At 39.2% G+C, this 15,984-nt stretch overlaps 2 protein-coding genes and 1 long non-coding RNA gene across 11 annotated transcripts in view; 1 reads left to right on the top strand and 2 right to left on the bottom strand.

Moving 5' to 3' along the window:
* Positions 1–15,984, bottom strand: part of MTFR1 (mitochondrial fission regulator 1) — a 134,710-nt gene that overhangs the window by 29,608 nt on the left and 89,118 nt on the right. The window contains exon 9 of one of the 6 annotated variants that reach the window (NM_001413084.1): positions 1,378–2,873. The exons of the other annotated variants lie outside the window; for them this stretch is intronic. The gene's annotated coding sequence lies outside the window, so the exon portion shown is untranslated. Of the gene's footprint in view, positions 1–1,377; positions 2,874–15,984 lie in introns of those variants that run through there. 6 annotated transcript variants of the gene reach the window in all.
* The window catches only part of PDE7A (phosphodiesterase 7A), a 127,731-nt gene that overhangs the window by 93,074 nt on the left and 18,673 nt on the right, over positions 1–15,984 (top strand). For all 4 annotated transcript variants that reach the window (NM_001242318.3, XM_011517540.4, XM_017013538.3 and 1 more), the window contains 4 exons: positions 1,188–1,339; positions 3,521–3,584; positions 9,394–9,489; positions 14,097–14,197. In NM_001242318.3, coding sequence (NP_001229247.1) covers positions 1,188–1,339; positions 3,521–3,584; positions 9,394–9,489; positions 14,097–14,197 — 413 coding nt within the window. The remainder of the gene's footprint in view (positions 1–1,187; positions 1,340–3,520; positions 3,585–9,393; positions 9,490–14,096; positions 14,198–15,984) is intronic.
* Positions 6,775–13,463, bottom strand: LOC107986949 (uncharacterized). The gene is made up of 2 exons (XR_001745946.2): positions 10,399–13,463; positions 6,775–7,085 (listed from the first exon to the last, which is right to left on the bottom strand). It is a non-coding gene; the product is annotated as an uncharacterized LOC107986949 (long non-coding RNA).

The following is a 15,984-nucleotide window of genomic DNA, read 5'->3' as shown; positions in this document are numbered from 1 at the left end:
TGAAGTTCATATTAAGATGATGAAGAGCCATGAAATGCTTTTATTTAGAGCAAGATGAGCAGATTCAGAATTTCTGATAATTACTAGTAGCATACCTGCAAGCAGTGGGAGCAGCATCAATTTTACCACCCTCGACATGGCTACTATTTAACACCTGCTGTGTCTCTGACTTGTATATATATTATCTCATTTAATCCAGCACCCCTTAAATTAGATATTATTGCCATTATACACATAAGGAAACACAGGGCTAGAGGTTAATAGAGGAGTGAGTGACTGGATATGCAAGAGAGAATATGTTTGATTACCTTCCATTTCACCTGGTGATTCTAAATTAAGAGATGATTTATTGATCCTCAGTCTTGATTTTCCTGTTTTATATTGTGAACATTTTACTGAATTTGGTTTGATTTTAGAATCTAAAGATAACGTATGTTCCCTGCAAGACAGATTTTACCCCAGATCTGTCATTTCATCTGGTGCCCAATCCAGGGAACTCTGGTTTATTCTAACACTAGAGGGAAAAAATGGCTATGTTAGACTCACTGAAAGAGAACATTCCAGTCTCCACTGTAGAACTGCATCTTTTCTAGAGCATATCACCTTAATAATTTTTATCCCTATCCTTTAGAACACTTACAGGATATAAACCACTTTGCTCCCCCTTCTACCTCCTTTTCTTCTTAATTATCTTAAGTAAATATTTGAAATGATACCTCATTGGGATATGAAATGTTTTACTTGTGTAATTGTTAAAATCTCATATGTAACTTAGGACCTGGCTTTTCTAGTAGTTTGAAACTAGGTTTTTTCCATGTTTCTGCTCCATGTTTATGTGGTATATTGAAGCAAAAGAGTAAGAGGTTATAGTATTTTAAAGTTAAAAAAAAAAACAAACCGTGATTATTAATCCCACCAGTCTTCGTTAGCTTTCTAAATGCTGTCAAAATTGGCCATTGACCTTCATCCTTAGTTCTTTCATTGAAAATAGAAATGTAATAGAGTGAGAACTCACTTAAAAAAATAAAATAAAATAGAAATAAAGTATCACTTCTTTCATGGAAATGTGGTATAATTATTTAAATGAATTTTTAAAAATACTTGTACATAACTAAAAGTGGTATTGCAAAGATAGCATGTGTATAATTTTAACTTGCTATACTTACCTTTTATTCTTTTTATTTCAGCTCAATCTGAAATTGAAGTGTCTGTCTCTGCAAGGAATATCAGAAGGCTACTAAGTTTCCAGCGATATCTTAGATCTTCACGCTTTTTTCGTGGTACTGCGGTTTCAAATTCCCTAAACATTTTAGATGATGATTATAATGGACAAGCCAAGGTGTGTATAGTTTTTTTAAGAAAACATTAATTTTTTGATAAGTTTACTGAAGGCCTTTATTCCCCATACAGTAATGATTTATAGAGTCTTTTTCTCTGTCTATGAAAAGCAGTTGAGCCTATTTTCCAGGTTTTTTTCTTTAGAGCAGCTGTTTGTTTTATAATTAGCCATTACAGAGCAAGGGAAATTTCTGAAATAACTAAAGTAGTGACAATGTTTTCATTTATTATTATAACATTACGTAACAAGGAGATCAATAAAACATTAAACTATAAGATCTCACAGAATTGTAATGCTGGGAAGACTTAGAGATTACCTGATCTAATCATGTCCGTATTCCATCAATAAAGAAACTGAGTCCAAGAGAGCACGAGGGACTTGTTTGCGCCCACCCAGCTGGTTAGAGGTAAACCCAGCACAGAAAGTTAGGTCTCTCTCTCTTTTTTGTGTGTGTGTGTGTATTAATAACATCTTTTCACAAAGGTCTCGTGACTTTCAGTCAAATGAGTCTTGATAGTCTCTTGCATTGAGAGAGATTTTTGAGGGTTTAGATGTATCATAGTTAAACTTGTTGATTGTGAGCATTATTTACTTCCTCTTTATATAATTTAAAAGAAATGTCTTACTGAACATCAGGGTTAAATGAGCTTGTTTTTAACCAAATGAGGATTTTAAATAATATTAAATTTCCAATGTATTTTAAGTTATATTTGACTTAATATTTACAGACCAGATTCTTGAGTTTGTGTAGATAAGTTTTTAAGTTGTGTAGGTAAAGCTGGGGTGTCTTCTTTACAATTACATGAAAGTGAAGAAAATTACTTCCCTGTTTAGTAAAAGAAATCAGTGGAAAGCGTTCATGCCTGCTTTAAATGTTAAAATGTTTACAAGTTCTGCCTTTTAGAATGAGAATATTGATCTCTATGTCATTTGTTGTTATTAGTACTGTTATAATTAATGATTTCTACTAGTAGTATCTTAGTGTTGCTCATGTCAGTGTATTCATAAATGTATACAACAGTGAACTTTTGGATATAAAATATAAGTTTTTTTCTAGAAAAAGTCCACAAAAGGTTCAGGTTAAGAATGTATGGTATAAAAATATTTGGTTTTTAGGGCCTTTGTGGGATTTATTTGCTTGGCTGAAGTACACATTATCCTAAAAGTTAATGTAGTAAATTGTGTTATTTTATAAGCATATTTAGATAATATAAATACATATCCATAAGTTAGAAGTGTTTTTTTAAAAACTGAATAACAAATAATTTAAGCATGGTGTGGTATCAGTGTCAGATGCCTAGGTTCTAGAAACAGACTACCTAATTTAAGATCCCAGCTCTATCACTTTATAGCTGAGCAAGTTAGTTATTTTTTGCTTGTTTCTACGTCCCTAAAATGAGAATTGAAAACAATGCCTGGGCTGGGTGCAGTGGCTCATGCCTGTAATCCTAGCACGTTCGGAGGCCAAGGTGGGAGAATCACTTGAGTCCAGGAGTTTGAAACCAGCCCTGGGCAGCATGGTGAGACCTTGTCTCTACAAAAAAAAAAAAAAAATTAGCCAGGTATGGTAACACATGCTTGTAGTCCCAGCTTCTCGGGAGGCTGAGACAGGAGGATTGCTCGAGCCCAGGAGGTCATGGCTGCAGTGAGCCGTCTTGTTTGTGCCACTGCATTCCAGCCTTGGTGACAGTGAGTGTGAGACCCTGTCTCAAAGAAAAAAGAAAACAACATCTGATAGTGTTGTTCTTAGTAATAAAAGAGTGAGTAACTTATAACAGTACCTGGAATACAGTAAATACTCAGTAGTGTCACTTATTTTTATTAGATTGTTTGCAATTTAGTTTCTAAACCATACAACATTTGAACCACACTTCTGTGATGTTAAGTGATACTAGAATTCTTAAAGGTTTGCAAGACTGTAGCAATAAGCTGGGAAACATAACCTTCCTGTGCATTCATTAATTGAAAAACAAAATAATGTTTCATTTTTCAAATGGAGTTTATCCCTTTGGCATTTTTTTGGAGCCAGTTGAAAAAGTCATGATTAAAAGAAAAATGATACTTGTATTTTTTAAAGTAAATCAATCACTTTACATTTTCTTTAACTTCTCTATGGAATATCTCCAAAAGACAATGTTATTGAAATTAAATTACAGTAGAAATGTTTGGTTTTCATTTCAGTGTATGCTGGAAAAAGTTGGAAATTGGAATTTTGATATCTTTCTATTTGATAGACTAACAAATGGTAAGTGAAGAATTTGACTTGCTCAAGTTAATGTAGTCTAGATTACTGCATTGATGGTGCAGCCGCTGGTGCGTTGCTTTCATTTACTGTACTAAGGTTGTTAGCCCTCTGCTGGAAGAGAGTGTATTAGTCCATTTTCACACTGCTGATAAAGACATACCCGAGACTGGGTAATTGAGAAAAAGAGGTTTAATGGACTCATAGTTCCATGTGGCTGGGGAGGCCTCACAATCATGGTGGAAGGTGAAAGGCACATCTTACATGTTGGCAGGCAAGAGAGAAATGAGAGCCAAGCAAAAGGGGAAACCCCTTATGAAATCATCAGATCTCGTTAGACTTATCCACTACCACAAGAACAGTGTGGGGGAAAGCACCTCCATGATTCAATTGTCTCCCACCGGGTCCCTCCCACAACACATGGGAATTATGGGAACTACAATTCAAGGTGAGATTTGGCTGGGGACACAGCCAAACCATATCAGGGAGCATCATTTTTTTCTCTTTTTAAGTGACTTTTCTAAAAGCCTACAGAATCAATCTCATAATTTTATGTTTTGATTATTGTCCTTAAAAGTAATCAAATCATCATTAGTATCATCATCATCATGACTTGGCAGATTGGTTGGCAATTGCCGCTGCTATTATTAATAACCCAAAGTAAACATTATTATCTCATGTTTTTTATTTTTATTTTTTGGTTTCTTTTAGATTGTGGCCATTTATAATCACATCTGATGTTGTATGCCTGTTTCCTGACCAAAGCAGTGGTTCCTTGCTTTCAGATAGGGAATGGGGAAGAGCTGTAGCTTCTTTAAGAGCGCTTATCAGAATCTACAGAGTATGGGTGGTTTGGGGGAAAATGCCCACAGGTGATTCTAATCACTCCTGAGTTTAGTTTGGTTCTGGATGGAGGGGTCATGTTTTCTTATTCTCTTTGCGGACAGAAACATGTTCTGTAGGAAAAGGAACAGGGAATCACTCTTATTTAGGATAAAATTGTGGGCATAATTATTGGTGGTACAATTGAGGACCACTAAACCTTAGGCAGTTCTACCTTTTAGTATATTTTTATTTGGGTAGCTTTTCTAGAAATACAATTTCCTTTATCAAGAAAGTGTTCATTTCCATTTCCATTTTTAAAAAAGTTCCTTCATGCCTGTTTTTTTTTGTTGTTTTGTTTTGTTTTGTTTTGTTTTGTAACACAACTAAGCATCTCTTATTTGAAATATTTTGTTGATTTGTGTTCTTATTCACTGGTAAAAGCAGTTCAGCTAGGCTGGGCGTGGTGGCTCATGCCTGTAATCCCCGCACTTTGGCAGGCCAAGGCTGGTGGATCACATGAGGTCAGGAGTTTAAGACCAGCCTGGCCAACATGGCAAAACCCCATCTCTACTAAAAATACAAACATTGGCTGGGTGTGGTGGTTCATGTCTCTAATCCTAGCTACATGGGAGGCTGAGGCAGGAGAATTGCTTGAATCTGGGAAGCAAAGGTTGCAGTGAGCTGAGATCGCGCCATTGCACTCCAGCCTGGGCAATAGAGCGAGACTGTCTCAAAAAAAAAAAAAGCAATTCAGCTAATGTTTTGCCCCAGAGCTGAAAGTACACTGAGAGGAAGTCAGTGCTGACTTTAGAATAATGAAATCACTGCTGTACTTTGAAATCACCTGCTTTTTCTTATTGCTTTGGAATGAAGCTCCTTTGATAAGGATGCCAAATATGTAAAATGAACAAATAAATTACCTTTATTTTTCTTGAGAATCAATGTGGGTCTTTTAGTATCACTCCATTATTCTCTGTAAGCTGTATGGCAATGCCTAGTGGAAATACCTTTGTCTATACCTTCTGTTTGCTTATGCAGTGTTGACAGAAAATAAACTGGACTGATCCTAGGCAAAATTGTGAAGACAGTGAAGTTTGTCTTTATCAGCAGAGCCACCCTCCTGCCTCCCTGCCTTTTTATTCCTCCCCTTCGCTATCTCTCTTCTACTTTTCCTTTGCCCTTGGTGATTAAGTGTTCTGTTCTTCTCCCTGCCCCCACCTTGGCCCGTACACACAGGAAAGGCTCTGATATCATTTACACAGTTAGCCTTCCCTTGGCCCTTCTCCTTTTTGAAAATACAGGTAGTGAAATATCAAGTGGCCCACCTTCTTCTTGCTCAGGGAAATTCCCCTTTCCTAACTTAACACAAATATTATTTTAGGTATTATCTCAAGGCAAATATAGATGAAACAATGCCACTCTTAACATTTTCAAGGTTTAGCCTTACATAAACTCTCACAGCTCATAGCCTATTATTAGTCTACTGGGACACTTGTCACTCATTGAAATAGTTGATTGTTCTTCTCCAAATTTTATTTTTAAAAAGTACATACTCTGCTAGTTGGGGGCATGGTGATGAAAGCGGCGTGAGCTCAGCAGTGCACTGGATGGGCAGAAGAAATAGCCAGCAGTCCACAGTAGTTAACTAAGCACTTCGCTTTCCTTTTGATCACCTCACTCTTTGAATGGGATTTGTGGACAGGGTGGCTAACTAGTTTCCCCTTAGGGTTCATTCCAGATCATTAGGGTTTAGTAGAAACCACTCATGGTTAGCTACCCACCTTTGATTTTAGAGGTGGAGATTTATACATTCAGTTAACTACAGCTATTCAAAAGCTCAGGAATTTTCTACTTAAAGAGATGTTATTGGGGAACAAATGGGCAGAAAAAAATTCCTTTAGCTTATATTATATAATGAGAATGGCTTTCCTTTTAAAACTGCTTCACCTGAAGTGAATTCTGGATAACATACATTCATGGTATCCAAGTGTATAGTTTTCCCTTCTTGCTTATTGATCCAGTGCTTTCTTGTGTTTCTTATGCTGGTAATTTCCCAGTTGATATTGGGGGAAGAACAGCAAGGCAGAGGAGGAAGCAAAATGCAGTGATTCGTGCCAAGACAAATCGTTCCCAGCTTGTCTGCTACAAGGAGGGAAGTAGTTATTGTCTGGTAGGATGCATTTGGAGTTCCTTTTGTAGGATTGAGGGAGTTAAGTGATGCGACATAGCAAAAGCTTGTCACTCCTAAAGCCACCTGGTTCATGAGGACACTAGCTGCCAGGCCTGCGTTGTCAGGGTGGCCTACTCCTTCCAACCAGATCCCATCTGGGATCACCTTCTAAAAATGATTGAGGACCACTCTTTCATAGGCAGTTCTATCTTTTGATATATTTTTATGTGGGTAGCTTTTCTAAAAATACAATTTTCTTTTTCAAGAAAGTGTTTCCATTTCCATTTTTTAAAAAGTTCTTCTGTGCCTGGTTTTTGTTTAACACAACTGAGCATCTCTTGTTTTGAAATATTTTGTTGACTTGTGTTCTTACTCACTGGTATTATAATCCTCAGTTGGTATCTTGCATGCAGCTTTTCAATTACATATGGGTAGTACACTTTAAGAGACTGATTCTTGTCAGATTCCTTTGGTGGGGACATTACATGTGTTTCTTCACTGCACTTTGCCTGAATTCCAAAAGAGGGTATTTTCCCATTAGATTGTAGCTTTCTTAAAACTTATTCTACATCCTAGAAATGGGTAATTTGTTTTGTTACATTTGAAAAACAATTTGGAGAACCTTATGATAATCTAAATATACAGAGAATGAATAAACATTCTAAAATATTTATATACTCGAAGATGGTTGTTACAGCAATAGCAACAGACACGTTGTTCACTTCTTCAGAAATGGCTCCACACCACATGGACTCGTGTTTGTACCAATAGAGCATATCAGGACCTGAACACATTTTAACATTTAATTTATTTAAAATGTAAGATTTGAAATGCTTTTTTCTTTCCACATGAAGGTGATACGTCAGGTAGTTTTTAAAAATAGTCTCTTTTGGCCTGCCACATCTTTTCTGTCATTGCTTATGCAAATAATGCTCCAATTAATGTACTTTTTCATCAGCTGTGGTCTTTTGTTGGCAGTTGGTTAGGCAGTTTTAGATAACAAGGTTAACCAAACAGTCCTTTATTATCCTTCATAAATATTATTATTATAAATTTTCAATTTGGGACTAGTATGTCTTTTATACATTTTTGTAAGAGTCATCATAGACGAGAGAATACTAGAATCGTGTATTTTATTGCATTATCTGAATGTTGGCAGTAATTTATGAGTCTATGTGAAGGATGTAGTCTACTTAAAATAGACTTTTTAATATGTAGCCTATTTAAAACGTGGTCTATTTAATTGTTAAAATAATATAGTATATGTGTCCTATGGAAGTTTACAAAACTGAGAAGTATAATAGGAGGTATAAAAAATGGAGAGTTACACCATGGAAGGGAAAACGAAACATCATAAAAATGGTAGTTTTTCCAAATTTAATTTCTATTCTTGGTGTGACTCCACTTGTTAGTGACAAAGGAGTGGACGTTGAGGACGAAAACAGTCCCCATTGCGTGTAGCAGCTCTTTCCAAAAACTCGGCTCTGTAGGGGGATGGAGCAGGTGAAACTGGAGGGGGCCAGGAGAGGCTGTGATTCTTTATTGTTTCAGAGATGAGAGAATCTAGAACATGTCTGAATGCTGATGCTTGTTGAGACAATATAGAAAAGAGAGAGAGATTGGTGGGGTGGGGTGGGGATAGTTGTACCTGATAGAACAAGGAATATCTCTGAGGAGGTGTGGATGGATTGGCTTTTGAAAGAAAGGGAAACTTGGCCAGGCGTGGTAGCTCACGCCTGTAAATCCCAGCACTTTGGGAGGCCGAGGCGGGCGGATCACAAGGTCAGGAGTTCGAGACCAGCCTGGCCAACAAAGTGAAACCCTGTCTCTACTAAAAATACAAAAAATTAGCCGGGCTTGGTGGCGGGTGCCTGTACTCCCTGCTACTCGGGAGGCTGAGGCAGGAGAATCGCTTGAACTCAGGAGGTGGAGGTTGCAGTGAGCCAAGATCGCACCATTGTACTCCAGCCCAGGTGACAGTGCTGGACTCCATCTCAAAAAAGAAAGAAAAGGAAACTTGAGGGCTTGTATTATTTCTGTGACATATGAGGCTGTGGAGAATGAGGGGGTGGATGGGAACTAAGTATGTTGAAAGTTTAAGAAGAGCATAAAAGGCTTGAAAATAGGCATTTTAAAACGTGAAAGAGCCATTTCACTGGAAAGACAATATGATTGCTGGGCAGTGTTGACTACGAGTTTGTAGCGATATTCTGCCTAGTTTTGTGATTCCCCCTCCCCACCCCCCCAAGCAACTCTCAGATTTTCTGCAGCTACTCTGGAAAAGCAAGTGGCTGAGTTCAGAGTTTTTAATCCTGATGATCTTGAGGTCATTGATGCCTCCTCCTAACCCTGTATGGATGAGAATAGACACATTCTCCACCTAACAAGGCTGCAGCCAAGGAAGTGTGCTCTGGGGCAGTCAGTTTCAGTGAAAGCAAGATGGCAGAGGCAATGTCAGGAGGGAGGTCAGGTGCAGCCACACTGAGTTAGGTTACTATGTGGGACAATTTTTAAAGTTTTCTATTGTCTATTCTCATTATTTTGGTGTCTTTAAAAAATTAATCTATTTGAAAATGTCTAGTTTTCAGTTCTTTGGTTGTGGAAAAGTAAAACAACAAAAATTAAATTTTTCTTATAATGAAACAAGATGTGACATATAAAGTTCATAACTGGTAAGAAGATGCATATTTTTGATAGACAAAAAGTGGGAATTATTACTCTTTCCATGTTTTATATTCAAAATCTGTATTTCAAAGCATAATATAATTGTGTTGACTTGTATTTCCTACTAATGTAATGTCTCTTCTTTCTTTTTAGGAAATAGTCTAGTAAGCTTAACCTTTCATTTATTTAGTCTTCATGGATTAATTGAGTACTTCCATTTAGATATGATGAAACTTCGTAGATTTTTAGGTAAGTGATTCTAACCCATTAACAGTAACAAGATTTACATTTATACAAGAACCTGTTTAAGTTTTATCTCAGTTATATCGGTTAGCTATTGCTCTATAACAAACCAGCCAAAATTAGTGGCTTAAAACAACACACAGTTATTTAGCTCTTGCATCTGTGGGGCTGTTAAATGCTTCTTTTGGTCTGGTCTGGGTGAGCTCATTTGTGCACCTGCAGACAGCAACAGGTGGGCTGCATGTTGGTTTTGTAGAGACCTCAGCTAGGATACCAGGCCTGACCCATCTCGGCTCTACATAGTCTTCTGTTAAATTTAAAAGAAGCAGAGGAGTTTGGCACCATAATAGATTTACATTAAAAACAAAAAAGAATTATTTATTTTACAATTAGCCGAGCTGGTTCAAACAGTAGTGGCAGGTTTCCGAGAGAGCTGATATCCCCAGGCCGCTGGAGCCCTGGGCTCAGAATCGGCCCACCTTCACTTCTGCATGCAGCAAGTGGCCACAGCAAGTCAGACCAGGGATGCACTACACCTGTTGGTGCAAAGGCTGCAAAGTCACAGAGCCACAGATACAGGAAATTGTGGATACTTGATTTCATTTTGCAATGTTCCTTACATTGGCCACAGATTGCTGACAAAGATGACACAATTTCTGTACTTTTCTAAATTTTTGAAGGCTAAAACTTTAAAAGAGCAGGTATATTGCAGTTAGGTTTCTTCTTTTTCTGACCCCTAGAATCTCTTTGACGGTAGGCTTTAAAGATTATTTGGGGCCAGGTGTGGTGGCTCACACCTGTAATCCCAGCACTTTGGGAGGCTGAGGCGGGTGGATCACGTGAGGCCACGAGTTGGAGACCAGCTTGGCCAACATGGCAAATACCCCATCTCTACTAAAAATACAAAAAAATTACCCAGGCATGGTGGCGCACGCCTGTAATCCCAGCTGCTCGGGAGGCTGAGGCACAAGATATCAACTCTAGTCTTCCTTCTTGTAATAGGCACCAGTTTCTCCTAGTTGGTTCTACCTGAGGAAGGAATTCATGATTCCTGGTAAAGTCTTTGTCCGTCCTTTAGGTGGATAGGAGAACTTCTGAGAAAGTCCTCTCCTGCATTTGCTGCTCTGAGTTTGAAGTCCAAAGCAGCATATTTTGGGGTCTCATTTTCTGACCCTCATTGTGATATTTCATATAGTGCCCAGATCAAGAGATAGCTTAATTTGTAATTTATTTGGTTATATACAATTTTGCTTATATACAGCAAAAAGATTACAACTTAATGAAGGTTCACATAATGATTAGCATTTTATAGCAATAAAGTCTTTTAAATTAAGGTGTATACATCGTTTTTTTTTAAAGACATAATGCTATTGTACACTTAATAGACTATAGTGTAAACATAGCTTTTGTATGCACTGGGAAACCCAAAATTTTGACTTGCTATATTGCAATATTCACTTTATTTTAGTAGTCTGGAACTTAACACTAAATATCTCACTGGTATGTCTATACTTAATAGTGAGAGACCATCACATTGATTTGATATCCTTTTTAAAATCTTTCAATTTTAAGTAGAGAGAAATTACAAATTATTCAGGAAGTAATTTATTACTGTAGGAAAATGGTAAAACTGTGGAACTATAAAATAAGTTAAGATGTTGCTGGTGGGGACATTTAATATTTCATACATGCTGGGCATGGTGGCTCACGCCTGTAATCCCAGCACTTTGGGAGGCTGAGGCAGGTGGATCACTTGAGGCCAGGAGTTCAAAACCATCCTGGCCAACATGGTGAAACCCCGTCTCTACTAAAAATACAAAAATTAGTCGGGTGTGGAGGCATGTGCCTGTAATCCTACCTACTCGGGAGGCTGAGGCAGGAGAATTACTTGAACCCAGGAGGCAGAGGTGAGATTGAGAGAGAGAGAGTGAGCCGAGATCGCGCCACTGTACTCCAGCCTGGGCAACAGAATGAGACTCTGTCTCAAAAATAATAATAATAATTAATATAACCATTTTTGCTAATCTGCAACTGCTTTATCTAGGTAAACAGAAGCCTGTGTGACTCTACAGATACAATTTTGCAGTAAATTCTCAAGTTTATAATTAATATAGTGTGAGTAGCCCCAGTAGCTATACTGGCAATTATAAAGATGCATATCCCCACTTTGCACATTGTTCATATGAATACTTGGCTGTTTATCCCTTCATCCTGTTGCCGCTAATGTGGAAGCCACTAGAACAGGTTTATGAGAGAATTAAGCCTTAAAGCCATAAGGAATCCATTGGCTTCAATGGATTATCTTTTGTGCAGCATATCTGGAATGGCTTTGGCTCTATACTGTCCTTGGGAGAATTGAGAAAATAATAACTCAGGTGTTTTTAGTTAGTTTGTTTGTTTGAGACAGGGTCTCACTATATTGCTAAGGCTGGAATGCAGTGGCATGATCATGGCTCACTGCAACCTCAACTTCCCAAGCTCCAGCCAGCCTCCCACCTCATCCAGGCTGAGGCAGGAGAATCACTTGAACCTGGGAGGTGGAGGTTGCAGTGAGCCAAGATCACGCTACTGCACTCCAGCCTGGGCAGCAGGGCGAGACTCCATCTCAAAAAAAAAAAAGCCTCAATACCAAGAATGTACAGCCAAATGAAGAGCTAGAAATATTAACTCAGACTTCAGACTTCTACTTAGAACTCTGGCAAAAAAAAAAAAAAAAACAGATAAATTTATTACATAGGGCTTTTGAGAAGCTTTTTCTTTTGGAGAGTCTTGCTCTGTCACCTAGGCTTGAGTGCAGTGGCGTGATCATGGCTCACTGCACCCTCAACCTCTCGGCTCATGCGATCCTCCCACCTCAGCCTCCCGAGTAGCTAGGAATATAGGTGTGCACCACCACACCAGACTACATTTTTATTTTTAGTAGGGACAAGGTCTTGCTAATGGCCTAGGCTGGTCTCAAACTCCTGGCCTCAAGCAATCCTCCAGCCTCAGCCTCCCAAAGTGCTGGAATTACAGGTGTGAGGCAGTGCACCTGGCCTTGAGAAACTTTTTAATGTGTATTAATTATAAGTAGTATGCCTGAAATACTGTACAGTAGTCCGCCTTTATCTCTGGTTTTGCTTTCTGTGGTTTCAGTTACCCATGGTCAACTGTAGTCTGAAAATATTAAATGGAAAATTCCAGAAGTAAACAATTCATAAGTTTTGAATTGCACACCATTGTGAGCAGCGTGATGAAATCTCATTGCATCCTGAACCGTGTTGGTTATCAGATCAGCCATGTTGGTATCACAGTGCTTGTGTTCGTCACCCTTATTTTACTTCATAATGGCCCCAAAGCACAAGAGTTGTGATGCTGGCTTATTGTTATAATCGTTCTATTTTATTTTAATTATTGTTAATTTCTTACTGTGACTAACTTATAAATTGCGCATTATCGTAGGTGTGTTTGTATAGGAAAAACATAGTATAAATAGGGTTTGGTACTATCTGTGGTTTCAGGCATCCACTGGGGGTCTTGGAACATATCCCCCAAGAATATGAGGGGACTACTATACTAAAAATATAAATTATAAAACACATACGGCCGGGCATGGTGGCTCATACCTGTAATCCCAGCATTTTGGGAGGCCGAGGTGGGTGGATCACCTGAGGTCAGGAGTTAAAGACCAGCCTGGCCAACATGGTGAAACCCCATTGTGACAAAAATACAAAAATTAGCCGAGCATGATGGCAGGTGCCTGTAATCCCAGCTACTCGGGTGGCTGAGGCGGGAGGATCACTTGAACTCAGGAGGTGGGCGTTGCACAGTTAGCTGAGATCATGCTGTTGCACTCCAGCCTGAGTGACAGAGCGAGACTCCATCTCAAAAATAACCACATACAAAAATAGCTTATTAGGTGGGGCATAGTGGCTCACACCTGTAATGCTAGCACTTTGGGAGGCCAAGGCAGGTGGACTCCTTGAGCCCAGGGGTTTGAAACCAGCCTGGGCAACATGGCAAGATCCTGTCTTTATAAAAAATACAAAAAAATGAGCCAGACATGGTGGCATGCACCTGTGGTTCCAACTACTTGGGAGGCTGAGGTGGCAGGATTACTTGAGCCCAGGAGGTCAGGGCTGCAATGAGCCATGATCATGTCACTGCACTCCAGCCTGGGCAACGAAGTGAGATCCTGTCTCAAAAAAACACTATTAACCAAGGGTACTGAAAGGCTATTTTAAAGGATGGGACGGAAGCAAGTGCAGAATTCTGATGGTCTGTCCCGCTCACTCGGCGATTGTGTTTCCCCATCACAGGTAGGCTCGCTTTCCTTTGAGACCACTGGATTTGTGTGTTATGCTGCTAGGGCTGTCAAGTAGGTTGATGGCAGGGGGCACAGCTCCACCCCGAAGCCTAGTCTGTTCGTCCATGATAGCATAGAGAGTCAAATTGATATTGATTCTTTTGGTATACATGTGAGTTGTGAGGTGATTATCATCTGCCCGAATCGGCACGATTTTAGCCGATAGCTACATGAAAAGTATGAGTGGGTAACTCATAATTATCACAATTTTTGTCCTTGTATATGTTGCTCATATACAATAAAATCGGGATCTCTTTCTTTGATGCAGTTATGATTCAAGAAGATTACCACAGTCAAAATCCTTACCATAACGCAGTCCACGCTGCGGATGTTACTCAGGCCATGCACTGTTACTTAAAGGAACCTAAGGTAAGAGGTTGACATTGATTTCAGGTGAAAATCATAAGAAAATTCCTTTTGATTTACTTTCACATACTTCTCCTGAAGTTACTGCTTTGACTGAAAATCACAGACTTCCTTCACAAGAATGAGATCTAGCTGGATCAAGTTTCTGAATCTGGCTGTGTTTCAGAGTGCAACAGCTAGAGAATTGGGTGGTTGTTGAGAGAGAGGCTGGAGAAGCCCAAGCAAGGGCCAGGTCACTTGAAACCTCGACTGCTGGCATTTACACTGAGCTCCACATGGGCTCCATGTGGGCAGGGACAGCCTTGGTCTGACTCAGTGAATGAATGAGGAGCTACAGAGAGGAGGCAGGAGACTTTAGAAAATTATCCTGGCTGTGATGTGAAGATAAATCGTATCAAGACCAAAAGCCTGAACACCTGCCAGGAGTTACTTCAGTGCTCCATGGAAGAGAGCAGAGTGGCCTTGGTGAAGTAGGGATGTGGATAGTTTGCAAGTTCTCTTGGGAATTAGAATGAACAGGATGTGGTGGTGAATGCATTTCGGGGAAAGAAACAGAAGTCAGTGAAGACTGGTTTGGGCAGTTGAGTAGAAGGTGGAAGTCTTCCATGAGAGGAGGAATGTAGAGCAGAACAAGTTTTGGGGGTAAGGCTTGTAGAGACAGTGAGCACCATTTTGGATCCGTGGTATTAAATGTATTTGACATCCTAATATAGAGGTCTAGTATAGAGTTACATAAAAGAGTCTGAAGTATAGAAGAGAAATCAGACTTAATGTATGGATTTGGGAATCATTGTCTGCAGGTGTTAATGAAAGCCATGTTTGCCCCTGGACATTTCCTATCCCTGGCAGTTCTGCAATTATGTCTGCCTATCCCATCTCTACTTCAAAACTGCTCTCTCCCTAGATCTTAGTTCTGGCTAAGGTGTTAGGCGGGAAACAGGATGACCAAACTGGCTTGTGCCCATTGATGCCAACTTAAGAACACAGCTAGTCTTCTGATTATTTAAGAGATCATAGAATATGTGAAAATGCCCGTTTTTTAGTATATATATCATGACTTTTAAAAAATCAACTTTATTGTGGTAGAACTTACATGCAGTAATACAGTGCATACATTTTATGTGTACGGTTTTGACAAATGTATACTCCCAACCACCCAACTGTTTTTTTTTCTCTAAGAGACAGGGTTTCACAGTGTTGCCAGGCTGGAGTGCAGTGGCGTGATCATGGCTCACTGCAGCCTCGACATCCTGGGCTCAAGCTGGAGGCCAGCTAATTTTTTAAATTTTTTGTAGAGACAGGGTCTCACTCTATTGCCCACCCCAATTTTTAAATTAAACTTCAAAAAAATCTCTGGGCCAAGACTGCATCCTCTGTTTGAGAATGTTGTGGGAGAGATTGATGAGTAATCACCATACAATCTGGTAAGTGGAAAGATGGTAATAAGTTCTCTGCAGCACACAAAAGGGTTAACCTGGTCAGCGAAGGCTTCTGCACTCCCATCTCCCTCTGGGCACACCCAACCCAAGCCAGGGGCAGGGAAATCTGGGTGATGCCAGGTGAGCAGGGTGGGGATGCATGTGGACAAAAATTAATAAAAACATGATTTTGAACACTTTTTGCCTGTGGAGTTCTGATAATACTTAAACACTTTTCATCCTTAACATACTCAGTGAACACTTTACCCAAGGCTTCAATTAAGGATATAGATAAAATCACAAAGCCCTACAATGCAGGCATTTCCCTTCTCCCTTATCATAGTGAACATTTTAAAATGGAGTCACCCAGGA

Source organism: Homo sapiens, chromosome 8, assembly GCF_000001405.40.
Source record: "Homo sapiens chromosome 8, GRCh38.p14 Primary Assembly".
NCBI classification, from domain to species: domain Eukaryota; kingdom Metazoa; phylum Chordata; class Mammalia; order Primates; family Hominidae; genus Homo; species Homo sapiens.
Note: the sequence above shows the minus strand (reverse complement) of the source record. Positions and strands in the feature narration are given on the sequence as shown.